This window comes from Homo sapiens, chromosome 10 (assembly GCF_000001405.40).
Source record: "Homo sapiens chromosome 10, GRCh38.p14 Primary Assembly".
In the NCBI taxonomy this organism is placed as follows: Eukaryota; Metazoa; Chordata; class Mammalia; order Primates; family Hominidae; genus Homo; species Homo sapiens.
The window spans coordinates 19,109,710-19,137,667 of NC_000010.11; the positions used below are offsets into that span (position 1 = coordinate 19,109,710).

The 27,958-nt window shown below is 37.1% G+C and overlaps 1 protein-coding gene across 8 annotated transcripts in view, besides 1 other annotated feature; it reads left to right on the top strand.

Annotated features, from left to right (window-relative positions):
- The window catches only part of MALRD1 (MAM and LDL receptor class A domain containing 1), a 687,552-nt gene that overhangs the window by 62,783 nt on the left and 596,811 nt on the right, over nt 1-27,958 (top strand). For all 8 annotated transcript variants that reach the window (XM_011519453.3, XM_011519455.3, XM_011519454.2 and 5 more), the window contains 5 exons: nt 13,783-13,884; nt 14,815-14,961; nt 18,512-18,678; nt 24,147-24,239; nt 26,865-27,072. In XM_011519453.3, the coding sequence (XP_011517755.1) occupies nt 13,783-13,884; nt 14,815-14,961; nt 18,512-18,678; nt 24,147-24,239; nt 26,865-27,072 (717 nt within the window). The remainder of the gene's footprint in view (nt 1-13,782; nt 13,885-14,814; nt 14,962-18,511; nt 18,679-24,146; nt 24,240-26,864; nt 27,073-27,958) is intronic.
- Nucleotides 9,339-9,980: an enhancer, noted in NCBI's record as "OCT4-NANOG hESC enhancer chr10:19407977-19408618 (GRCh37/hg19 assembly coordinates)". NCBI's record gives its function as "activates a minimal SCP1, AML or CMV promoter by ChIP-STARR-seq in naive and primed H9 embryonic stem cells {active_cell/tissue: H9 hESC(naive and primed)}" and the evidence as "EXISTENCE:reporter gene assay evidence [ECO:0000049][PMID:30033119]".

The window sequence follows — 27,958 nt, forward strand, 5'->3', positions numbered from 1 at the left end:
ACTGGATCCCAGAGAAAGATGCACTCTAGTCATGGCTCCAGTCCCAAGATAGCACTTTATAGCAGCAATGTAGATATGGGAAGAGAAGGCACAATGTGCGCTCCTTCTTTGGAGCAGCATAACCATGTCAACTTCTGGCAGTGACCTTAGACTGGGCTTAGGGCCTGTGATGACTGCAGAGTTCTGTAGCATCAAAAACTGTGGCAACTGATCTTTGATGGGGGATGCTGGGGGCCTCCTGCTTACCTTTTCTTTGCAATGGTAATTACTTCTGATTCTGAACCTCTCCCAACTGGGGAGACAGGGCAGTAAAGATAGGGTATTTTCTTCCATTTTCTATGAATCCAGTCTGAGTCCCCATGCTCTACAGGGTCACTGCTATTCCCCTGCAACACTCTGGTGCTTTCCCTCAGCTGCTGTTGTCAAAATGTGCTTGTTTATTCATTGTTTTAGTCCTTTTTCATGGAGGGAAAATACATTAAGCGTCTCTAGTCAGTTGTCTTGCTAACATCACTCCAGTCCGTGCTTGGGTTTTTAACATCCCTTCTGTTAGCATAAGAGCTTATGGATAGATGTTTCTTGCCACATAGACCAAGCCTGGGTTTTGTAGAAGCTGGTGACAGCTGCTTCTAACACTGGAACATGTAAAGTTCTCGTTTGCTTTTGTATTTTTAGTGCTCAGCATTTATCAGGCGAGAAATCACTATATGCTACATTTAAAAGTATATCAATTGAAATAGAGAACTTTAAGGGACCAGATTATAACACCCCTGCCTCAAACCTAGAAGTAAATAATTAAAGTGTCGTCCTCAATGCTGTTTCACTATTAGAAAATAACATTTATTGGACTTATCAAAAGGGATGCAATTTATCAATAGAGAATATATGGCTAACTGAAGGCAATGCAGCCTCTACTGCTGACTGCTTTGTTATTTAAAATCTTCTCTAATACCCCCTCTTCTGTTACTTTCCATGGTATTCCTGGGTCCAGAGCAAAGCCAGCTTAGTTTTAATGAGACATCTGGTTCTTGACCCTGATCCCTTCAGCAATGTCTTTATATATCTCAATTTTATAGTTTCTGCAGAGGTCAGGGTCTGGCAAAGAAAATGATCCCTGATCATTTTGTACTAGTGTTATTCATTGGCTGGTCTGGCTAATCACATTCAAAGGAGAAAAAGGCAAGGAAATCACCTATTGGCTGGACTTTCCTACTGTAGGGAAGTTAGGAATTGGTTGCTGCCATTGAAACTGTATTTGCATTACAAATTTACAAACACACATGCTTGGGTGATGCTTGGGAATTGAGATGGCCTGTAATAAGATTTTGCTATCATTTTAGATATAAATTTCTCTCTATCTTTGTCTCTGGGAACCAAAGCCATTTCCCTACTTACCCATGAACTATATACTGGGACAAAGACCAAGTAGATGGGCCATCATATATATTCAGAAGACAAATGTCAGATGTGTAGTAAGTATTTAAAAAGACTCTATAAAATCACTACAGAAGTACAAAAGCAATCATAGTACAAGTGAGATTTCAGAAAGATGAATATTCAAAGGAAAATTGTGATCCAGTAGAAAAACATGAGCATTTTCAATTTTTAAGGTAATTGTTCTAGACATCATTATAACCATAATGTATTTGAGGTGGTGTGGAGAAGAAATTTACTAAAGAAGAGGCATCAATAAATGTTAAGACTCATTTATTGTCTGAGCCTTTCACGTGAATATGACATTTATATAACATGACAAGCTTTGGGACTGGAGAGGAGGACTTTGAAATCTAAGACTGAAGTTATCAATGCATATGGAAAGTAGACCTACACGTATGACAGAGGGCAATAAGCTGAATATCATGAACCAAGATGTTTGCACACTTTCAAAGATAAATACTTGTGCTGAAGCAACATTGGGGATTTAGATGAACTGCAACCCTATTTTTAGGCTTTGCCTTTTATGGGGCATTGCAAACAATGTCATCTCCTGGGAATGCTGCAAAGGAAGTAGTTTTCTTATGGAGAAAGCCAGGATTCAGATGAGGTCACCTGGTATGTTCTTTGAAGATGAGGACACAGAGAGTTGTTTCTGTTTTTGTTTTTCAAGTAAAATAAGGATTGAGGGCATATTTACATTTTTGGGAGGAAAACACAGCAGCATGAAGATTAATAATAGAGGAAAAACATAAAGCATTATGGGATGAGATTGGCACTTGGCTGGGGCTGCACTTTGTAAATGGCAGAAATGTGAGAGATTGTAAAATTAAGTAGCATTAAATTGCCAAATGGGACTCTCTAGCCAAGTTCAGGCACTGTCATAACAGACTAAACCTAGTTAATCATCAGAATCACATCAGGGAGTGATTGATTCTGGGCTTCACTCCAGTGATAGATGGGAATCACTGTAAATGGAGCCTGAATTTTAAATAAGATTCTCAGGATTTTTTTTTTTTTTTTTTTATGAAGCCAGTAGAGCTCAGGCTTAAAAACAGGACTAGCATTTGGGAACCACAAGGTCTGGTATCCTGCTGATGATTGTACTTGGGGCAGAGTCCCAGCTAACTAGAATGAGTAGTTTTAGTCTCATGCAATCCTGGTGGTGGTGGTTGGGGCAGGGGTGGAGGGAGCATCGGAGACATGCCGTTCAGCATCTTCTGGACATCGTCATCAGAAAATCCTATACCTATGGAGGATAGGGATAGGGCTTCTTGGATTTGGATGCAAGAAAACAGGCAAGTTTGCTTAAATCACTTAAGGAAATGGAGGAGATAATTATGGAAAAGGTTCATCACCCCCAGTACTGTTAGAGTCGGGGACCAAGGAATTTATTTTTTTGTATCTGCCTTACTACCTTACGCTTGTCACTTTATGGCTATAAGATGACCGTTAAAGGCCTGTACATCTCAAATTTTGGGCAGGAAGAAGGTAGAAATAAGAAGGGGCAATGTTTTTGGCCATATCATTGGCTTGACTATTTTATCTGGATAACTTTAGTTGCTAGGCAGGCTAACAAAACTGAATATTTAGCTTTTAGCCTTTGGAATAGAGGTAAGTAAGGAGAACAGATTTATGAGTGGAATAAGCAAATATATTTGCTACAGAAACTGAAAATCAACAATGTTTAGAAGTAAACTCCAATTTTCTTTCAAAATCTGTTCCCTCTCATTCATTCCCTGTTTTAGTCATTGGCAGTTGTTTTTTCTCACTCAAAAAGTTAAGAGTAATTTTTACATATTCTTCTCTTTTTTTCACCTTTATATCAATTTGGCTAAAAAATATTATTGAGGGAATGTCCTACCTTATTTCTTAAATTTTCTCCTCTTATTTATTACTATTATTTATCCAACCCTGACTTTGTTCCAGCCCACATTTTTTTTCCCCTATGGGATATTTTTTTTCTTCCAATTTTAATGTATTCTACTCAACAATCTACTTCCAACAGATTATACTTTATAACAGACACCTATGGCCAGGTCTCCACTTCTCATAAATCCATCAATAAGTCTTACTGCCTCCAGGACAGAATTCAAATATTTTATCATGATATTAGCTCCTCACGATACTGCTCTTTTTCAGTAGTCCAATGTCCTCCTTCACAATTCCCCCAAGAATCCCATACTCTGGTCAAAACAAATTACTTGTGAGTTCAGCAACGCAGTGTCCTCTAATTCCTGGGTATTATGCAAACCTCTTTTCCTCTGCCCGAAAGCCTCATTCCATGACTTTTCTTTTTCTTCTTCTTCTCATTTTTCCTCTCCTTCATCCTCTCCCTATACTCCCCACCTTCTCTTCCCTCTTTTCTCCCCATTCCTCTCCCCTCTGTCCTCCTCCTACATTTCTCCTCCCTCCTTCCTCCACCTCCCTTGCCTTCTTCCTCTCCTTTCCTTTTTCTTCCTTCTTCTCCCTTCTGCCTTCTTTGTTCCTTCCTTTTCTTTCTTTCTTTCTTTTTTTTCTTTGTTTTTGATATGTCCTTCCACCATTTATGCTCAGGTTTCTGAGCAAAAGTTTCTTGTGAGTTGAGGTTTCTTGTGCAGGGAATTTTCCCTTGTAGACTATCCCTCCACATTGCCACTACCACCCCCTACACACACACACACACACACACACACACACACACACACAGACACACACACACAGACACATGTGTATTGATTTATCTCCATGACTAAATTCTAAGTGCCTTGAGGCATAGTTCCTACCCTGTCTAATTCATTTGTGGACCCTAGAACAGAACAAGCACTTAATAAATACAGATTGACCAAATGATTGAACAAAGAACATGTGCAGTTATTCAAATGCCAAATATTTGAGATTTTGGATTATTTCTTCTTCCTTGTGAGATACATATGCTCTATTCCATAAAAAAGCAGATTTAAATAAAATATCAGGGGAAGATGTTTTTAACAGTACTTACATTTGTGCTAAGAATATTATATTATTTCTAGGTTTTTGTTTTAGTATGAAAAATGAAGCTAAGTCCTCAAACTATATAATGAGGCTTTATTGAAGAAGAATTAATCTGGGCCAAGCATTTCCCATATTTTAATAGACATACAGGTACTTTTGCCATATTATAACAGAAATATTGTATTTAGAAATGAGTGGACTTAAAGAAAATGAGTGGACTTAAGTTCTAACATAGCCGTCTTGTGGTAAGTCTTTTTGGTTTATAGAAATGATTGTTTAGGAGGCTGAGGTGGGCAGATCACTTGAGGTCAGGAGTTCGAGACCAGCCTGGCCAACATGGTGAAACCCCATCTCTACTAAAAATACAAAAATTAGCTGGGCATGATGGCGTGCAGCTGTAATCCCAGCTACTCCAGAGGGTTGAACCTGGGAGGTGGAGGTTGCAGTGAGCTGAGACGGCACCACTGCACTCCAGCCTAGGTGACAAAAAAAGACTCTGTCCTGGAAAAAAAAATGATATTTAGATTTCCTAAAAAGACTTCTTTTCACATATGTGGACCACTATGCACCTGCCCTACACACCTCAGGGCTAGTATATTAGTCTATTATGGCTGCCATAACAAAGTACCTCAGACTGTGTTACTCAAACAATAGAAATTTATTTTTTCTTGATTATTGAGGCCAGACATCCAAGTTCAAAATGTCAGCAGGATTGATTGAGTTTTGTGTCCTTTCTTCTTGGCTTATAGATGGCTGTTTTCTCCCTGTGTCTTCACATGGTCATTCTATACCTGACTATGACCTAAACTCTAGTTTAAGTACACCAGCCATATTGGATTAGGGCCACCCTGGTTACCTCATTTTACCTTAGTTAGCTCTATAAAGGCTGTATTTCCAAATACAGTCACTTTCAGTAGTACTTTGGGTTAACAGTTCAACATAGGAATTTTGGGAGGCATGATTTAGCCCATAATAACCAAGTTCCAGACAACTAGAAACAGCTTCTATGTTCTAGGGCCTGCTGACATCATTAAAACTAGCCAGTCCTAGGCTTGCTTACCCTGCCTCCCCTGCTTCTTCTCCTAGAAACCAGAAGAAAGTTTCTTACCCACAATTCACTCCTCTTCCTCTGCCTCCTGACTGACGCTGGGACTTTCCCACGTGCTCCCTCTTCTTGGAGAGGAGGTGTCTAGAGACACCCAAGAGGAGGTCTATACTCTGGGTGACCAAATAATCTGTATAACAGACCCCCATGACACGAATTTACCTATATAACAAACCCACATATGTACCCCGAAGTTAAAATAAAAGCTTTTTTTTTTAAAAGTAAAAAACAACTCATAGAGCTGAATACTGGAAAATAGGAACTTTACCATATGTAAATTTATAAATAAATTTGAAAATGAAATGACCAACTTTTAAAGTTGAATAATTCTGAGATGAGGAAGTTTATAATATATGGCTTATTTATTATACTCTTATTTATGAAAATGAAACTATTATTTTACCATATATGTTTCTCTTTACTATAAAAATATATCATGAGGTCAGGAGTTCGAGACCAACCTGGGCAACATGGTGAAACCCTGTATCTACTAAAAATATAAAAATTAGCCAGGTGTGGTGGCACATACCTGTAATCCCAGCTACTGGGGAGGCTGAGACGGGAGAATCGCTTGAACCCAGGAGGCAGAGGTTGCAGTGAGCTGAGATCACGGCACTGCACTCCAGCCTGGGTGACAGGGTGAGATCCCATCTCAAACAAAAGAAAAAAGAAAAAAATACATATAAGCTATTTTATTTATAAAACTGCTTAGTATTAGGTATTTTCACAGTTTCTGAACACTTTGCAAGTTGGACAATAAAACTAATTTTTAATATGAAAGAAATTGTTTAGCCTATTTCCAGATTTTCAAACAATACCGTTCTAACCTCTGCCCCTTCCAAGATATGAAATTTTATTGTACATTTATTGAAAAGAGGATCACTTTAGATTTTACCAAAGTAGCTAGTATGAAAAAAAAATCAAGCCTTGCTATTGTGATTAAATAAGAACATGTTTAATCACTGATTCTTGAATAACACTGATTCTTAAAGAAACAGCTGATTATAATTTTGTATAACGATTTCATGCTGTGGCTCACAATCAGAATATTTTGAATATTCTGTGAATATTTTTAGATTGGTTTTTCAGGACTTTGCCTAAGTCTCATTTGTAAAGCCCTCAAATATACCAATCATCCCTTTATTAGAATCTGAATGATGCATATATATTATCCAGTTAAATAACTAAGGACCTTTTTTATTTTAGTAGCTTCCAGTTTTCTTTTAAGAGACAGTAACTGTTCCTTCCTTGAAATCCACTACAAATAAGGATAACTGACACATTGTCTAAAACCTCTGGAGTAAAAACTGGATGTCAATTATAACTTTTACCACAATGGCCTTGAGACTTGGACTTCATTTTCTACCCTCTGAGAGAGTCGGGACAATTTCATTTAATCTGTTTGTGCAAGATAAGATTTGAAGGATGGCAGGCCCTAGACATGTGACTTCAGTGGTACAGACACCTTGAAATGGTTGGCAAAGCCTTATTCCACTAATCATGTATCACTGATGGAGGATTTGAAAACCCCTAAAATAATATTGTACTGCCAGATTGTGGTACAAAGTAAGAATAAGAGAAAAAGAGTTGGGCACAGTGGCTCACACCTGTAGTCTCAGCACTTTGGGAGGCTGAGGTGGGCAGATCACCTGAGGTCAGGAGTTCGAGACCAGCCTCAACCTGGCCAACATGACGAAACCCTATCTCTACTAAAAATACAAAAATTAGCCAGGCGTGGTGGCGGGCCCCTGTAGTCCCAGCTACTGGGGAGGCTGAGGCAGGAGAATCGCTTGAACCTGAGAGGCAGAGGTTGCAGTGAGCCGAGATTGTGCCACTGCACTCCAGCCTGGGCAACAGAGTGAGACTCTGTCTCAAAAAAAAAAAAAAAAGAAGAAAGAAAGAGTGAGAGGAGAGAGGGAAGAAGGGAGAATTAATATGAGTATAAATAACTGACATCTTTAAATAGCTTTGAGCTCTGGGATTGAATGCACTAAAATAAAAAGAGCTGTCCAGATTTATTAATTGACAATTTATGCATACCAGGCCAAAATACTTACTCATATACCACTGGTTTTATGGTTGTAAATTCCAGTTTTCAGGCCAAAGGTAGTTAAAGTGGTAGACACTGGTGAAAGAAATGTAATACATTTGACAAGAGCTACGTTTTTAATTCCATGCAATTTGTACTCAACTGTTTTGCTATTTTTGTTTATAGTACTTCTGGGTTTTTTTTTTTGTCTTGTGTAAATAGTGATGAATTAGAGATAATATACAACATTTAACTGAACTATGACCAATATTTAGTTATGTAGCTCTAGGGACAGAAGATTTGTAGCTATTATATGAATCTACAAAAATTACAGTTTTAATTGTTTCATGGTAATCGTTATTGTGCAATCTTAGCTTCATTTATTGCCAACATTCCCTTAGTTGCATATGCAGCTTTGTTTTCAGTGCATCTTACATTCAAGAGGATTTGCATATTCATCATTTGTAAACTCCCATTATGAGAAACCAGATTGTGGATGCATTCATAAATCATTTCCATAACCAATTGCTTCAGTTTTATCACAAATAAAAGTGAACATGATGTATATTGAGTCTACAATGTTTTAAAATTTTTCATCAGGTTGTTCTTAGGCCATTTATTCATTTATCAAACAAGTATACATTGAGCACCTATTATGCCAATAAGTTTTTTAGATAGTCGTGTGATAGCGGTGAAAAAGCAAATAGTAATCATTGCGTTCACCAAGCTTACAATTTAGTCAGGGAGAAAAATGGCACTAAGCAAATAAATAAAAAATATAGTTTATGTCAAGTGGTGATATTTGCTATGGAGAACAGTAAAGCAAAAAACTGTGATAAGAAGTTCTAGAAATGAGGATGAGATGGTGATGTTTAAATAGTCAGTATGGTCACATTAAAACATATCACCTGAGAAAAATAGCCAAACAGTAGAGGAAATAAGCCATGTGAATATTAGATATGTTGACAAAAAGAGTCAAGCTCTGTAAAATATTAAAAGAGATTTATTCTGAGCCAAACATGAGTGATCGATGGCTCATGACACAGTCCTCAGGAGATCCTGAGAACAGGTGCCCAAGGTGGTTGGGCTACAAGTTGGTTTTACACAATTTGGGGAGACATAAAATATCAATCAATGAATGCAAGATGTACATTGGTTGAGTTTAGAAAGGCAGAACAACTGGAAGAGGGGGCTTCCAGGTCATAGGTGGATTCATAGATTTTCTGGTTGACCATTGGTTGAGTTATTATCTGAAGACCTGGAATCAATAGAAAGTAATGTGTAAGTTACAATAAGAGCTCGTAGAGACCAAGGTTTTATCATGTAGATGAAGCCTCCAGATAGCAAGCTTCAGAGAAAATAGACTGTAGATGTTTCTTATCATACTTAGTTTGTTCTACCAGTAATTGCAAAAGGGAGGAGGGTATAATGAGGCATGTCTGGCTTCACTTTCCCATCATGGCCTGAACTAGTTTTACAGGTTAACTTCGGAATGTCTGTAGATGAGAGGAGGAGTCCATTCAGATGGTTGGGGCTTAGGATTTAATTTTTTTATTTATATATCCAGCTATAAATGCAGAGGCCTTGAGGAAAGAGGCCTTGGTTTATATGAGGAAGGTCATAGTAAGGCATTGATGTTTACTTCATATAGGATGAAAACCCATGGAAGGGCTTTAAGCAGAGGAGACATGATCTGACCCTCAAGATTATAGTGGAGCAGGGACAAGGACAGAAAGACAAATTAAGAAGTTACTAAGATGATCAGGAAAGAGATGATGTTTCCTGAGCCAGAGTTGGTAGTAGTAGTGGAGGTCATAAGATGTAGTTGGATTCTGGATGTGTTTTATTGATAATGCAGAAATTTGCTGATGGATTGCATGTTTGGTGAGAGAGAGAGAAAGAGATGAGTCATGGAAGACCCCAAATTTCTCGCCTTAACTAGAAGGATGGAGTTTCATTAACTGGGATAAGAAAGGCTGTGGGAAGAGAAAGTTTATGTTGAGAAAAATCAGAGGTTTATTGAGGTAGTAACCGCCCAAGGGGTTCACCTTGCCAGCTGCCTGGGCAGAGCCAATTCATCAAGATGGGAATTGCAATAGAGAAAGAGTAATTCACGCAGAGCCGGCTATGTGGGAGACTGGAGTTATATTATCATGCAAATCAGTCTCGCTGAGCATTCAGGGATCAGAGTTTTTAAGGATAACTTGGTGGGTTGGGGGAAGCCAGTGAGCCAGGAGTGCTGACTGGTCAGAGATGAAATCACAGGAAGTCGGAGCTGTCTTCTTGTGCTCAGTCGGTTCCTGGGTTGAGGCCACAAGATCAGATGAGCCAATTTATTGACCTGGATGGTGCCAGTTGATCCATCAAGTGCCGGTTCTGTGAAATATGTCAAGCACTGATCTTAGAAGCAGTTTAGGGAGGGTCAGAATCTTGTAGCCTCCAGCTGCATGACTCCTAAACTATAATTTCTATTCTTGTGACTAATGTTAGTCCTACAAAGGCAGTCTAGTCCCCAGACAAGAAAGAGGTCTGCTTTGGGAAAGGGCTGTTACCATCCTTGTTTAAACTATAAACTAAGTTCCTCCCAAAGTTAGTCCAGTCTCCACCCAGGAATGAGCAAGGACAGCTTGGAAGTTAGAAGCAAGATGGAGTCGATTAAATTAGATCTCTTTCACTGTCTCAGTCATACTTTTGCAAAGGCGGTTTCAAGATTTAGACCTATTTCTGTGACCCGAGGGAAGAGGCTTAAGTCAGTAGCAGGATACTGCTGGAGTGTAGAGTTGGAGTCCACAAAAATTTTGGGCCTGAGGTATAATTTTATGAGTCACCAGCATTTAGGAAAGGGTTTAATAGCATGTGACTAGCTGATATTAACAAGGTTGTGGGTGTGTAGAGAGGAGAAGAGATGGAGGGACTGAGCTTCCAGGCAGTCTCATGTTGAGCAGATGAGGGAAAACCACAAGAGAGACTGAGAAAAAAAATAGGTGGTAACACAATCAGAAAACCAGAAAAGAGTTTTATGCAAAAGCCTGGTGAAGAAAATATTTCAAGAAAAAGGGAGGGATCAGCTCTGTCCAATATTACTGATATGTCAAATATGTTGATGAAAAAAATTAAATATGAGATTTAGCAATATAGAGGTCAATCTTGATATATGCAGTTTCAGGGGAGTGGTAAAGGTGACGAAAAAACAAACAAACAAATAAGGAATAATATACTGATCCATGCTACAACATGGATGAACCTCAAAAACATTTTGCTGAGTGAAAGGAACCAAGCACAAAGGCTACAGCCTGCATGATTCCATTTATGTGAAATAGCAGAGTCGGCAAATCCATAGAGATAGAAAGCAGATGTAGTGGCTGCCAGGGTAGGGGGAGAAGAGAGAATGGTGAAGTGACTGATGGGTACAGGTGATGAAAATGTCTTGGAATTAGGTAGTTTGATGATTGCACAACATTTCAAATTTAATAAAAGCCACTGACTTGTACACTTTTTTGTTGTTGTTGTTGAAGCAGAGTTTCGCTCTTGTTGCCCAAGCTGGAGTGCAGTGGCACGATCTCAGTTCACTGCAACCCTGCCTCCCGGGTTCAACTGATTCTCCTGTCTCAGCCTCCTGAGTAGCTGGGACTACAGGCATGCAACACCACACCTGGCTAATTTTTGTATTTTTAGTAGATACGGAGTTTCGCCATGTTGGCCAGGCTGATCTTGAACTCCTGACCTCAGGTGATCTACCTGCCTCAGCCTCCCAAAATGCTGGGATTACAGGCGTGAGCCACTGTGCCCGGCCTTTTTTTTTTTTTTTTTTGAGTTGGACTCTCACTCTGTTGCCCAGGCTAAAGTGCAGTGGTGCGATCTCGGCTCACTGCAACCTCCGCCTCCTGGGTTCAAGCAATTCTCCTGCCTCAGATTTCCTGGCTGGGATTACAGGCGTGTGCCACCATGCCTTGCTAATTTTTGTATTTTTAGTAGAGATGGGGTTTCACCATGTTGGCCAGGCTGGTCTCGAACTCCTGAACTCAAGTGATCCACCTGCTTCGGCCTCCCAAGTGCTGGGATTACAGTTGTGAGCCACTGTGCCCAGCCTACTTGTACACTTTAAAATAGATAAAATGGAAATGGTTAATGATATGTTTTGTGAAGTTTATCTCAATTAAAAAAACTGTTATTGACATAGGTTCAAGAGAGAATAGGAGGGGAAAGAACTGGTGTTTGAGTCAGTGTGAGAATAGGCAGAACTTTGAGAAGTTAGTTGGAGAAGGTTGTCGGATCAGGAGAATGTTTTTCTAAGATGGATGAAGTTTTGGCCATTTAGGTCCTGAAGGAAATGATCTTGTAGAGAAAGAGAACACATCGTTGTAAATGAGAGGAGAGGAAATTGGCAGTATGATTCCTTAAATAGCCGAGCAGAGATGAAATTTCTGTCTAAATGGAAGACGTCATCCAGAGAAGGGCATGGAGAGTTGACCCGCTCCTACAGGGGGCAAAGCATGTGGACAGCTGGCCAGTGAGATTGATGATGGGACTTGTAAAGTTTTCTTCTGATTTCTCTCATTTTCCCAATGAAATGTGAAGCAAGGTGGTGAGCTGAGAATGACAATAGGGAAGGAAGAGCTGGAAGTTAAAAGAGGGAATAGAAAGCTTTGAATAGTTGTCTAGGAAAGCGGAAAAGGAAAGAATGAGGGTCACCCTGATGCCAATGGAGTGAGTAGTCATGAATACGAAGTCATTTCAGTCTGCATGATTGTGAACAAAGTGAAATCTGCATGATTTCTTCACTCATTCAGCTGCACAGATACAGGCTAGAGTAAGTGAAGGGATGTATTTTCTAGAGTTTTTGCCATGAGAGTATGGAGAAGTATGAGCATGGCCAGGGAGTGATTGCTTGTCTGACATCTCTAATAAAGGAAATGAAGACAAGATAGGTGAGGGAAATAACTGAAAATAATTTAGGATCCTGGGCTTGTAGAACCTGGCGCAGCTGAAATATTGTTAGAGTAGAGATATGAAAAGAAGTGAGCTGGACAGATAGGGCTGATGGTTGGGGAGTGGACCACTTGAAATGAAGACAAGGAAACGTTATCATCATTAGTAATGGTAATACTCCTTTTGAAGAGTGGTGGCAAAGGTTGTTTTTCATCAAAGTTCTCCTTCAAAGTCATCAATAAGAAGAGATCAAGAAACTGAGAAGCAAATAAAAGTGAATATTTACATGACAGAGAATGACAGTGAGCTCAGAGCTAGAATGTTCAGGTGTTGAGGGGCAGGGCATCCTCAGGGCTCACCTACAGTGTCTGTAGGTGATTGTAACAAGCTGGAACAGTGAGGGGTGCCATTTGACATGAGAGTCAAAGCTTGGGTATTTAGGAAGATCAGAGGGAGAATTGTCTGCAAGTGGTATGGGCAGAAAGGACTCCTAGTCTACCTTCAAGTCTTATATTGGGGGGCTTGGGGAAAAGAAAACAAAAACACAGGCACAATTTTTTTTTTGAGATGGAGTCTCACTCTGTCACCCAGGGTGGAGTGAAGTGGCGTGATCTTTGCTCACTGCAACCTCCACCTCCTGAGTTCAAGCAATTCTCCTGCCTCAGCCTCCCTAGTAGCTGGGATTATGGATGCCTGCCACCACGCCCAGATAATTTTTGTATTTTTAATAGAGACGGGGTTTCACCATGTTGGCCAGGCTCATCTTGAACTCCTGACCTCAGGTGATCCACCCTCCTTGGCCTCCCAAAGGCCAGCCCATGCCTGGGATTACAGGTGTGAGCCACCATGGCCGGCCAACAGGCACAATTTGAGAAAGCTCCAGAGAAAGCAGTTCCAGGGAAGATCCACCTTCCAGGTTTAAGGGGCGCCATATCTTGTATTGGACACATGTACAACTGTCCTTCAAATAGTAGACTCTGAGTTCCAACATTAGGGCAATTTTTTTACTCCTATGAAGGATTGGCTTTGGGGCTTGCCTGTCATTATGGAGATATGATTAAAATTCTGAAACATTGGCATAGTTGTTTTGTTCTGTTTTTCTCTGTCTCTATTTGAGTGGTGTGTATGTGTGTGTGTGTGTGTGTGAGAGAGAGAGAGAGAAAGAGATAGGGTTACCTAAAGGGTGATGATACCATAAAGAGAAATTGGTTACAGAGTGCTTTGTAGAATGAATATTAACATTAAAGCAAAATACTTGAGTCTTTCCAGTTGCACCTGCATTTCACTTCTTGCCAATCTTTAAATTTAACAGATGGAATTTTACTGTGTCAAGAAGCATTGAATGCTGAGCGGGAGCTATGCCATCCAGATACAGATCTCTGCAGATTTGATGCTACAGATGAAGAGTTGAGATGTAAGTGTTAAATTGAGATATTCACTTTTCTGGTATATATGCAATATGTGAGACTCAGACCACTCACAGGAAAGTGCACGCGCCAACCTTTGTTGACATTAATGTCCTAGTTTTAGCTGGAGTGTTTTTGGGAGGCTGTGGTGGTTTATACTAAATATATCAATTTAAGGCGATGTCATTTTGTGAAACAAACTAAAGCCACTGTGGAATGATATGCAATGTTTCTTCTATAAAATTTCAGTGTGATTATGAATAGTAAATAATTTAAACTAACTAATCTAATCCCATAAAGTAGATAAGGTAAAATATAAAGCCATTTTAAAAATCGTTGACTGGGTATGGTGGCTCATGCCTGTAATCCCAGCACTTTGGGAGGCCGGGATGAGAGGATTGCTTGAGGCCAAGAGCTCAAAATTAGCCTGGGCAATATAGCAAGATGTCATCTCTACCAAAAAAAAAAAAAAAAAAAAAGAATCACCTGAGCATGGTGGCATGCACCTGTGGTCCTAGCTACTTGGGAGGCTGAGGCTGGAAGATTGCTTGAGCCCAGGAGTTTAAGGCTACAGTGGGCTATGATTGCACCACTGCATTTGGCCTGGGTGGCAGAACAAGACCCTGTCTCTTAAAAAAATTAAAACATATTGTGACTGAAGTGGTGACACATACAACAAAAACTAGGAATCTCCTTTTTCTATGGCAATGGGTCACATTTGAGAGGATATTGTACATGTGGATCAACTGAGAAATTTTTGCAAAATGGAGTTGCTGGTACACTCGAAGGCTTATTGAATCCAAACTTGCAGATATAAATTAGTGTGTGCTGATGTGTATGTGTGTATATAAGCTTTTTGGTTGATTACAACACATAACTTGGTTAAGCAGCCACTCTAGCAGACTAATAGTCCACCAAGATCTTTTTCTCCCGTTTAGTGTGTCAGGCCTGTGGGTTTGAATTTGACATGTGTGAGTGGACGTCAGAAGCATCTGCTGGCCAAATTTCCTGGATGCGCACAAAAGCGAGAGAGATCCCTGCATTCGAATCCACACCTCAGCAGGATCAAGGAGGTGATGATGAAGGTAGAAAAAAAAATAATATCTTTTATGTATTACTTTCAGAATTCTGCTTTATGGTGACTAGTTATAAGACATTACATAGGAGGCCTTGGTGAATATACTGAGTATATTTTATTGAAAATACATTCTGCCAAAGGAGCTGAAGGTGAAAATAACAATTATGTTTCCAACAGTGTAAAACAAGAATTATACTAGGTTAACAATATTTTTTAAGTTTTATTATTTCCTTCAGGATTTATTATCGTGTGAACAAAAAGTATTAAAAGGCTTTTTTTTTTTTTTTTTTTTTTTTTTTTGAGACAGAGTCTCAATCTGTCACCCAGGCTGGAATGCAGTGGTGAGATCTCGGCCCACTGCAACCCCCGCCTCCTGGGTTCAAGTGATTCTCCTGTCTCAGCCTCCCAAGCAGCTGGGACTACAGGCACGTGCTACCATGCCTGGCTAATTTTTGAATTTTTAGTGGAGACAGGAATTCACCATGTTGGCCAGGCTGGTATCAAACTCCTGACCTCAAGTGATCCACCCACCTTAGCCTCCTGAAGTGCTGAGATTACAGGTTTGAGCCATCATGCCCGGCCAAGTCGGCCAGCTCTTTCTTTCTCTTTCTTTCTTTCTTTCTTTCTTTCCTTCCTTCCTTCCTTCCTTCCTTCCTTCCTTCTTTCTTTCTTTCTTTCTTTCTTTCTTTCTTTCTTTCTTTCTTTCTTTCTTTCTTTCCTTCCTTCCTTCCTTCCTTCCATCCATGCTTCCTTCCTTCCTTCTTTCTTTCTTTCTTTCTCTCTTTCAACACTGCTCTGTTGTCAATGAGTTTCTTCCTCTTGCTAACATATTAATTTGTATTTTCTGTTTACTTTTATTCTTTTTGCTTTTTTTTCTTTCTTCCTTTTCTTGGAGGGGTGAGTATTGTTACATTTTTATTTTTATTTTTTTCACTGATCTGGAAGCTTTAATTTATATAGCCTATTGTTATGACTATTCTTAATTTTTAGGGTATATTCTTTATATGAAATTTCTTTAACAAAACCTAAAGTGCTCTACTATTTCTGCCTTCTTGAACATGAGAAAGACCAAACTATCATTTAATTATTTTTTGGTCCTGAGTTACAGTTGAACATTTTAAAGAGTTTTAAAGTCAATATCTTGTTATGATACTTGTAATTATTAAGTTTATATATTTCATTATTTTTCTTACTCACCATTGTTTTTTAGATTTTATGCTTTCCTTCTTGGTTCCCTTATCCCCTTGCAAAGGTTGACTCTTTAATCAATTTTTCTTTTATTTAGAAAAGATCTGTGGTGATGAGCTCCCATAGTACCTGTAAACTTAAAATGTTTTAAAATTGTTCTCACTTCGAAATAATAATTTATCTGGTCATACAATTTTAGAATTTTTTTTTTTTAATTTCTAAGTACAGGGTGATTTTCCCTCTTTAGCTCCTGATATGTGCTGTAGTGACAGAGAAGTCTGAGTGCATGTAATGGTTTTTAGTTTAATGCAGATTTTAAAAATGTTTCTTTATCTTTGTTATTTGAAAATTTCAGTATGATGAGTGCAGGAATGAGTATACGTTTAATTTTTAATGCTCAGAATGCACATATATCATCACTTGCAGAAATTATGTTATTCTATTCAAGTAATTCTCTCTTACTCCCTCTAATCTTTTCATCTTGAGTTTCTATTAAACACAACTAATGTTCACACTCCATAACCTGACTCCTCCTTTTTATTTTCTATATAATTTACTCTATTTTGAGTTACATTTCAGGGCTTCTGGTACATGAATTTTCTCTTTGACACTATGGCCAGTCTAGGTTATATTCTGCCTATTGGGCATTTAATTTAAAGTCTTAATTTATTTTTGTTTTAAGTGTATACTTGCTAATATTTTCTTATTTATTTCCTAGTGTATCTTAATATGTTTTTAATAGAATGTATTAGAATTGCATGAAATTTAATTTCTTTTTTCTACAATTTATAAATGTAATTCGTTTTTGCTGTCTTTAGCATTATATTTATATATTTTACTGTGCAGATTATTATTTTTTATTTTTTTTTATTTTTTGGGGGTAGCAGTAATATTATTATTATGGTTATTTATTTTATTTAAGTTCCAGGCTACATGTGCAGGATGTGCAGGTTTGTTACATAAGTAAACATGTGCTGTGGTGGTTGGCTGCACCTGTCAACCCATTACCTAGGTATTAAGACCAGCGTGCATTAGCTATTTATCCCAATGATCTCCCTCCCCTCACCCCTCAACAGTCCCCAGTGTGTGTTGTTCCCCTTCCCTGTGTCTGTGTTCAAGTTGTTCAGCTCCCACATATAAGTGAGAACATGTGGTACTTGGCTTTCTGTTCCAGCATTAGTTTGCTCAGGATAATGGCTTCCAGCTCCATCCATGCTCCTGCAAAGGACATGATCTCATTCCTTTTTATGGATGCATAGTATTCCATGGTGTATATGTACCACATTTCCTTTATCCAGTCTATCATTGATGGGCATTTGGGTTGATTCCATGTCTTTGCTATTGTGAATAGTGTACAGACTATTTTTAAAAAGATTAATAGACTTTACTTTTTAGAATTACTCTTTTCAAACTGCTTTTTGCCTTGCAGGTGCCTTGTAATTTTTTGTTGAAAGTCAGGCATGATTTACTGTGCAAAAGACATTAATGTAAATAGTGTAAGCTTTTACATTACGTTTATGCAGTTAAGGATCATATTATGCTTAGTATTTGCTGTAGCTGTAAATATCTGAGGCTAAAATTTGCTCTCATGTTCTTGTTTTTGTCTTTCTTGTTGTATTTGGGTTTCCTTAGAGACTTCTTTTTAAATAAACATCAGAGACGTGCAGCAGTTTCAGTAGCATGAAGAAGCAATTCAGACTTTATTTTTGAAAATGAAGTTGTAAAATTATAGAAATCTCTTTATAAATCTGTGTTGTCATTGTTATTAAGTTCAAGAACAGCTCAAATTGGTTTTAAATATCAGATGGGGAAAAATTTATTTACAATATATTTATGTAAAACAAAATCCATAGGTGACGTTTAAAAGGACTGTAGATATCTCATACCTCTATGTGGCTTGGTAAGAAAGAAGACATTTTAAGTTGTATTTCCTAAAACTATAAAGGATTTTCTACAAAAAGTAAATCAAAAAATCATCCAGAGGGGCAAGAATTCTGGAAGGATGAAGAGAAATTCTTGATTAAAAAAAGGATTGAATTGTGATATTTAAAAGAAAATGGCAATAATTTGGTGGTATAGCAATTTGTATATGTAGGTTTCTTTTATAGGAATCTTGAATTTTTACAAAAGGGTGTTATCAAATTTTGATTATAGAAATTAGGAGATTTCTCTACATATTGGAAATAATATATAAAAATGAAAACCTGTTATTTGTAGTTGATGTAATCATTTGAAAACGCTCTATCCTTTTAAGTAAAATATTTGTGTTTTAAGTCTAGTTTTGAAAACTTCAGAAATGTAATAGTTTTAGTCAGACAGAAAGAAGCTAATGTTTTCCTAAATTGCTTCTTTTTTCTTTTATCTTTCAGGTTATTATGTATGGGTAGGCGCTAAGCATGGTTTCACTCTTAACCATTTAGACAGCAGGGCTTACCTAAATAGCTCTGTGTGTCATTGCCTGGGCAAGAGCTGTCATCTTCAATTCTATTATGCAATGGAAAGCAGTGTCCTGAGAGTAAGACTGTATAATAATAAGGTAAGAAGAAAGTTGCATTTATTTCAAATTCATTGAATCAATGAAGTTTCTAACTCTTGGCAACTTGTGTTTCGATTTCTCAGTTGCGCATAGGCTTTTATTCTTTAACTTGACTTTACTTGGTATACTTTTAAAAAGAATGATTAAGAAACTAGGATAGGGGACACTCTCATGTACAAAAGTTAATGTGATAACTTGCCCAATATTATTTCATAAAGTTTTCAAAATTCATGGAAGTATATTAAAGAAACTATAGATCTAATAAAAATGGGATAGCTGAGATTCTGTATTATGAGCTCTGTATTGAAGCTCTGATGTGATCTGTTTTGGACATTACATCTGTATATCATTAGAACTATAAATATAATGGTTAAAACTTACTTGTTTGGGTAGCAGTAGACATAATTTTTAAGACTGGTAATTATTGATTAAATATTGAACAATGGCACACTGGGTAGAGTGAGTCCATTCTTCTTCTCTCTCTCCTTGTCCAATATGCTCGATGAGTTCTAAAGTGTAAAGCTGGGTGAGTACTCCAATTAGTATAACAGATAAAAACAAACTGACAGCTGATTCCATAGTATAGGAAAACACCCTGCTTTTTCTACTCTTACGCACTCAGCACTCCCAATATCTCACTTCTGACACCAGATGCATGTTTTTTTTCCAACACAGCAATTCAGTTCTCTAGTGGACACCAACTGAGTGTCCTTTGATTTGCCTCAATTCTGACACTGCTACATGAAGATAGTACAGATTCCACAGGTTGAGGTCTCAGGCCCGCAAGACTACCCCTACTTCAGATGTCAATCACAAGCTTCCTATTGTGCCTCTTACCTACCAGCTATAAATTGGAGTTCCCATGACCCCCTTCTTAGGTTTGATAATTTGCTAGGATGGCTCACAGAATTCAGGAAAACACTTTACTCATGTTACCCATTTAGTATTAAAAATGTAGTTGAACAACCATATGGAAGAGATGAATAGGGCAAAGTATGTGGGAAGAGGGGTGGTGCTTCTCTTCCATGCATTCCCAGGTGTGCACCCTCTAGGAACCAAAATGCGTTCAGCAATCTAGAAGCTCTCTGAAACCTGTACTTCAGGAATTTGTATAGAGGATTTGTCACATAGGTATGATCATTTATTAGCTCAATCTCCAGCCCCTCTCTTCTTCCCCAAAGAGGTGGGGCTGAAAGTTCCAAGCTTCTAATCATAGCTTGATCTTTCTGGTGATGAGTCCCATAAGATTCCATTAACATCCCTATTGATTAGGAAATTAACAGGTTTTTGGGAACTATCTGCCAGAAACTGGAGATGAATAAATATATTCATAATAAATAATATATAATGTATAATTATATGTAATATAATATATAACAAATAATATATTTATTATTTTATGTATCCAGATTTATATGATTCACATAATTACATCTATATGTATGTGAGATGACTATAGATATATATCTCTACACATCCATATAGATATAAATATATAGATAAATATGGATGTCATATATATATCACATATCTGTAGATATGTGGATGTGATATATATATATATCTCTATCTCCCCACACATCCATATACACACATATAGATATATAAAGTAATATACATATGTATATAAATTCTTTTTTAATTGGATGAGATATAATTTTCCTGGCATTCTGGAACTTGTTATGTTTTTGTGTTTCTTGCAATAGTACTTTGTAGTCACTGCCCTGCAATCTATTTAATATATTTCATTCCATTTGGTAACGTGTGGGGGGAGGAAGAAAAGGGGACAACATCTCCCTATCCTTCCTGCAGCATTACAAACTGTCCAGATACGTGGGATCAATTTTACCAAAAAGGAAGAGAGAAAAAATTTAACTGTATCCACGTATGTTCCACCATTCATGCCTCAATATTTCAGTTGCTGTCACCTGTGCTGTTTGAACCAATCCCAGCAAGCCTCCATGCAATCTACAACATTCTATAATTTCCAACTCCTTCTTCAATAAAGGCATAGTAGAGAAATTCTAGAATAATTTCGATGAGTTTAAATTACAGTTCAAATGGTTAAATTATATATGTGGACCTATGGTAATGCTTTTCAGATGACAGATAATTAATTATTTCATGAAAATTGAATGAATTTTTAGCCTAAATTTAAGTGGAAATTTGTATTATAATATGGTCTAATCCTGAGGATTATTTTAATCTGCTCTGAAAATGAGTGATGTATTTTAAAAGTTTCAATACATGTAGAATGGAATTGTGTATTTAATTATGAATGTATGTATTGTGTATGTAATTATGAATGTGTATATGTATTTTGTAATTATGAATGTATGTATTTAGTATGTATGTAATTATGAATGTATATAGATTGGAATTACTGAAAATGAGCCATGCCATTCTTCTGGTGGCTTTAGAACCATACAAGAAAAGAGTGAAAACAAATTGGCTTCAAGTGTTACATCATATAAAAATGACGTTAGATACCACACATCATTAACTCTATTAATCAGTAATACAGTTATCAAGATTCTGTCTCTCATATTATAAGAAAAGAAGTTAATCATAGGGAAATGATCTAGTGTATTAACCAGAACCAAATGGATGTACATCTTAGAGATTGTTGACTGATGTTTGATTTGTTAGTATCCTGTGAGGTGTCCTGTCTTTTCTGACACTATTTGCTATCCTCTATACATATGTTGCTCGCTGATGCAAAATCTGCATCAAAGTACATTTAAGTCCCAAGTCAATGTTTTATCACACACTTAAAAGGACTCCAAACCTATCATTTAAAAAAGTGGCTCTTGATGAAAATGATGATTTACATCTTTCCATGAATAGAATGCTGTTTTGTGTTGTGAATATCTATTACTCTATAAATGTGAGGAGATAAGCCAAGAAATATCTAGCAAGAATGCTGAAGGTTGTTTTCTTTATTTCCAGAGGACATTAGAACTTGAGAAGTGAAAAACTCAGGTGAAGGCAAGTTGTTAAATAAAAAGTTCACTCTTTAGAATCAGCTCAAGTGTGTAGCAATTATAGTTTGTACCATCTAACCATTATTGGGTTAGATCTGCGTCCATGATCTATAAAATAATACTCATAGCAACAGCCTACTTTTGTTCTGTGTAGGGTTTCCATGTAATTATTTACCAATAAATTTACATGTAATTTTTCTTTACAACCAAATTTACTTGTAATTCTTTACCAAATTACATGGTCTTATTCCTAGATGCGATCAAAAGTAGTGAAACTCAACAACATTGACTTTGGTACCCTTGATTTCTTCACTGGAAGAGAAAAGCATAGACTGGCATCTCTAAGAGATAGAGTGTTAATAAATATGTTAAATATTTTTCTTGAAAGGTAAATCGGCATTATTGATCCTGGACCGGTGGAGCAAAGATATATTTTTTAAAAAATTATTTACTGATTTTAAGATAAAAGTAGAACATCACTTGAAAAGCTTTGCTGAGTTGGAGATTTCTTTTTTACATTAACACCTGTGAAAAGTAACTAGAAAGTGGAAGAGTAAGAACAGAAATAAAATGAAACCTGATTTCACTTAGAATAAATTCTTTTTACAAAACATTGCTAGTGCCATCAGACTGGAAAATGTATAGAAAAATCTAGATCTCATTCACTGTGTACTATGAACTTGGCTTATGAAAAACCATTTAAGTTTGGAAAGAACACTGCTCACTTTTCAAAAATGTAAGTGCACCCATCTTCAGGGGGAGCAGAGGGGAATCAGTCACTGTGAAATAAGAGCACAATAGCTCTAAATTATTTTCATAAAATGAAAACGGGGAAAGTGGTGAATGCAATTTGCCAAGAGGTGTCACTAAAAGCATCTGTGTAGGGTGATGCTAAATAACTGAAGTTGTGTAAGAAATAAGCAGAAGAAAAATTAGTTGCTTGTCTCAACTTTTTATAACTCCAGTTCATCCTGATCCGCCATGAAAGCTATCAGCCGAAAATATGTCCACCCCGTGTGCTTCACTGTCTTGTGGAAATCTTCACAGTTGATATGAATAAGTAATGAAGTAAATTGTAATGGATTTAGACTATCTTCTGAAATATTTAGGTCTTCGAAATTTGGAGTAAGCATTTGAGGGTGCAGGACTAAGTTGAAAGTAGATTCATTTTTAGAAAATCTTGGGCATGCATAAATTATGTGAGGCTGAGTGAGGACACAAATATTGATATCAAGTATCATTTGGATTAAAACAAGATGTTGCCTTTCAGGGCCGTTTTCTATCTCATGCTAGAAAGTGGGACAGAGCCAGGCTCAGAGCTCAACCTGAGACATAATTATGTCAATCTTCACATTTTTACCATATTGTTACCTAAAAATTCATGCATTCTATATGTAAACATTATGAACAATTTGTTCTATTTTTGGGAAGAAATGTGAATTTGAATGTCTAATAAAATGTAAATAAAAATAAGATTTCAGAGCATAAAAGCATCAACATAAATCATAAAGACCAATGCCATACATGCCGTAGACAAAATTTTGAGTACCTTATAGACTTTTTTATTTTATTTAGTTTTTTTGAGACGAATTCATGCTCTGTCGCCCAGGCTGGAATGTAGTACTGGTGGCATCTTGGCTCACTGCAACCTGCGCCTCCCAGGTTCAAGTTATTCTCCTGCCTCAGCCTCCTGAGTAGCTGGGATTACAGGCACCCACCACCACGCCTGGCTAATTTTTGTATTTTTAGTAGAGATGGAGTTTCACCATAGACTTTTATTGAGTTTCTTACATTCAATACATGTTTTGAATGCAGTAAAGGCTTGTTACTACACTCATAGCATGTAGTAACAATTTTACATAGATTTTGCAATCTGAAAAATGATCATTGTACAGGTACATAACATAGATTTCTCTAAAAGATGTAAATAGGCCTTTGATAGAATGACCAAATTAAGAATATAATTTTCAGAATGTATCTGTATTGTTTGGAATTTGGACCAAATGTTTCCACAGGAAAAAATATTTAGTATAAATTGAAATTGTGCAGAAAATGCATCTGACAACATTTTTAACCTTTATATTGTTTGCCTGTAAACGTTTTCTTTTCTAGTATCATGGCAGTATTACAAAATGTAATAATGTTATTGAGTTCAACATTTTAATTGCTGATCTTATTAACTGTTATTTAGAATTTTATTTTTGAAACGCAGTACTGTTTTTTTAAAAGATTTCATCCAAATTTTTGTTCCATCCTAATACTGTTTATCTGCAAAAAGCAGCTTTACTACATAAACATGCTTCATTTTCTTATTTTTTAATGATATTCAGCTTTTTCAATTTTACTACCAAGACTTTAGATTTCCTAGTACTTTATATCATACAGGTAAGGTAATACCTACTACAGTGTAATTAAAAGAGCATGTATGTAAATGTGAAGATTAGAATACGGGTAATGAGTGATGTCTTTCTCTTCAAATCAAAGGAAGAAGAAATATTTTGGACATACAACATATCAACTCACAGCCAATGGGTGAAAGCAGATGTGTTAATACCAGAAGATCTGAAGACATTTAAGGTATGAAAGAAAAAAAAAAAGTATTTTTTTATCATGGTTTAAGTTTTAGCTTTGCAGTAATAAATTGACCATGCACTGCTAAAGTTAAATTAGCAGTTAAGTTAGGGATGCGTGCTTGTATATTTGGGGAGAGTGATTGCTTACTTTTTAAATTGTACCTTTTCCTTCTGAGACCAAATTTCCCATGGCGGGGGAAATTGAGTGTCTCCACTCTCGTTCACAGCTTCCTCACTCTCCGCAGCCTTCCTTTCTTGCTCCCCAGCACCATGCTGTGCCCCAGGGAAACAAATTGCATTATGAAGTAGGTAAATAGTAAACTGGTATTGAAACTTAGTAGAGTATAGGCAAATGTTTTGAATGCAATAATTCATATCTTTATAACACATGGAAAGCTCTATGTACACCAAGAAACATATGAAACATACATAGGCTCAATAGGAATGCTGTCTCTTAAAAAATTAAATTGATATTTTGTGTTGTATTAGGTTGGTGCAAATGTAATTGCAGCTTTTGCCATTGTGGCTTTTGCCATTGCTTTTAATGGCCAAAACCTCAATTATTTTTGCACCAACATGATATATGGAATGTGTAAGTTTATTTATGCTGGAGTGTGAGTATAAAATGATGATACTGATTATATGTGTGGGTTATGAAGGCAACTTCATTTCTTTATAGTGATATTCCATTTATACATCCTATCACAGCCTATTGAGTTAACATTTTGACACTATTTAATTTTCATAGGCTGATATCTGTTTTTATAACTTCTCAGGTACTAAACAAGTTTCTTTTTTTATAAACTGAAGATTAAATTTTGTTTTAACTCAAAGATAAAACAAAGTAAAATGTAAAGAAAATGAATTTGAGAGTTATTCCAGGTTCTCAAGTGGATATGTAATGTAATTAGCTGTTCAATAATTATAGGCCTTTGAGATCTAAGTTTAAAACCATCAATTTTTGAACCTCAAATTGATATCATTTCTGCATTTCTGATCTCTTGCTGCTATGAAAATATACAGCTATACATTAATAATTTTTACATGTATGATATTCATTATGGGAAAAGTATGTAGCAGCATACAAAGTTTTCTTATTGTTGGATATGATTTAAATTTAATATTATTTTCTAAACCAAATTATTAGACATATTTGCAAACTGAAAATCTGACCTTAAGTAATTATTAATGAACAAACAAATATATATCCCTCGTATTTTGTTTGTTTGAAATGGAGTCTTGCTCTGTCACCCAGGCTGGAGTGCAGTGATGGGATTTTGTCTCACTGCAGCTTCCACCTCCTGGGCTCAAGCAATTCTCTTGCGTTAGCCTCCCAAGCAGCTGGGACTACAGGCATGTGCCACCATGCCCAGCTAATTTTTTGTATTTTTAGTAGAGATGGGTTTTATCATATTGGCCAGGCTGGTCTCGAACTCCTGACCTCAAGTGATCCACCTCCTTGGCCTCACAAAGTGCTGGGATTACAGGTGTGGGTCACTGCACCTGACCTATCCCTCATGTTTTGAAAAGAAAATCTATTCAGAAACTTTAAGCTGGATGAAACTGAAGGAAGTCAATTTTAATTCTTAGTATCTGGCTGGAATTTTAACCACATTTAGTGCTGTTTAATAGAACTTTCTGCCTAATGGAAATGCTTTATATCTGATGTCCAGTATGGTAGCCACTGATCACATGAGGCTATTGAACAATTGAAATTTGGCTACTATGACTGAGGGAACTAAATTTTATTTTATTTTCATTAATTTGAATTGAAATAGTCCTCTGTAGCTCATGGCTAATGTTTTGGACAGCAAATAATTGGTTATCTGTGATACAGTCAGCTATTTATACTTCTGCACTTTTGGTGTTAAGTAATAATTGCTCTTGGTAGAAACTCAAGGAATGCTAATACTTTGACATTATCTTACACTTGACCAGCAATGTGTGGTTATTTCATTTGCTAATATTGCTTATCTCCAGAAAAGCTAGCAATTCAATTGGTGACAACAAAATTTATTTACTTTAATTGACACTTCTTTTCTCATTAAAGAAATTACTCTTTTATGTAAGTTGAATAGAGTTTTATGTTTATTCCCTTACATTTTTTTATTCCTATATTGTGTCTGTTTCTGTTTGCCTGATATTTTTCTTCATGTATTCAAATACTAATTTCACTAGTTAAAAAATAAGTCAGATGCAGTTACAGCTCTTGTTCTATAAGTAATGACAACACTTCTTATTTTCCTTGAAAATGAAAGAAAGAGAGCTGTAAAGATGATGACCAAGTAACAAGTTTGCAGTCAGGGACATTTTTTATAGTTAGGTGGGATGCTTGTTTTTTGCCTGATCCTGGGAGGTTTCTCTGAGCCTTTAGTGGAGCAAATGTTTCCATCAGTTTTTTTTTTTTTTAATACTTTAAGTTTTAGGGAACATGTGCACAACCTGCAGGTTTGTTATGTCAGTCGTATGAGCATGGGTTGAGGTTATCAAACAGGAACTTTGTTATATATTGCCTTGGTTGCTTTAAACACTTTTTCTCAATAACTACTTTGTCTTTATCAACCTTCTTTAGTTTTTTGTCTTATTAAGGAGATTGCAAACTCATAAATTAATCTTTTCCTTCCTAAAGATTATTTTTGAAGGGACTCTTTTGAGCCAGAGAAGTTTTATTGCCCTTGATCACCTCTGGGTCTATGCCTGTGGACAGACCCAATCCAGAAAGCTTTGCTCTGCAGACGAATTCCCTTGCACTAGTGGCCAGTGCATCGCCAAAGAATCTGTCTGTGACTCTCGGCAGGACTGCTCCGATGAGAGTGATGAAGACCCAGCAACTTGCTGTAAGTGAGTGAATGGCTTACTAGTTTACATGCTCTAATTCAAGACTGTTAGTTGGATTTAAAACAGTCTTTGTTTCTATCAAGGCAAAGGTAAGTCATATGTATGAAATGTGATAAATATGCATTATCGCTCTGAAACTATTAGTACTATGCCTTCAGGGATCTCTATTTTAACTTAATGTTTTGGTGCTTGTTGCAAAGTCTGCAACATCTCTCAATTTATTCTACAAATGAATAGTTGTGATTATTGTTGGCTGGGTGTGCGAATGTGTGTGCTTTGATTAAAGAGAAGATGGGTGGTAGAAGGAAACTTTTTGTACCTTTGCCTTGGAGGCATATAGTATGGGTTGCTAACTTTTATTGTGTATGCTTTTTTCCTCTCTAGTCAATCATCTTGGAAGCTGTAGCTGGGAGGGATGAGTAGGAGGAGGGTGGCCCTTCCTCCAGGGCAGCTACCATGATTGTAGAAATCACTTCAGCCATCATGGCTGCCCTGGAGGAAGGGCCGCTCTCCTCTTACTTGCCTAGAAAACACTTCAGCCAGCCGGGTGCAATGGCTCACACCTGTAATCCCAGCACTTTGGGAGGCTGAGGCAGGCAGATCACAAGGTCAGGAGTTCAAGACCAGCCTGGCCAACATAGTGAAACCCCCGTCTCTACTAAAAATACAAAAAATTAGCCAGGCGTGGTGGTGGGCACCTGTAATCACAGCTACTTGGGAGGCTGAGGTAGGAGAACTGCCTGAACATGGGAGGTGGAGGTTGCCGTGAGCTGAGATCATGCCATTGCACTCTCCAGCCCAGGCGACAGCGTGAGACTCCGTCTGAAAAAAAAAAAAAAAAAAAAAAAAGAAATCACTTCAGCCATGACTGGCGTTTGGGAGGGC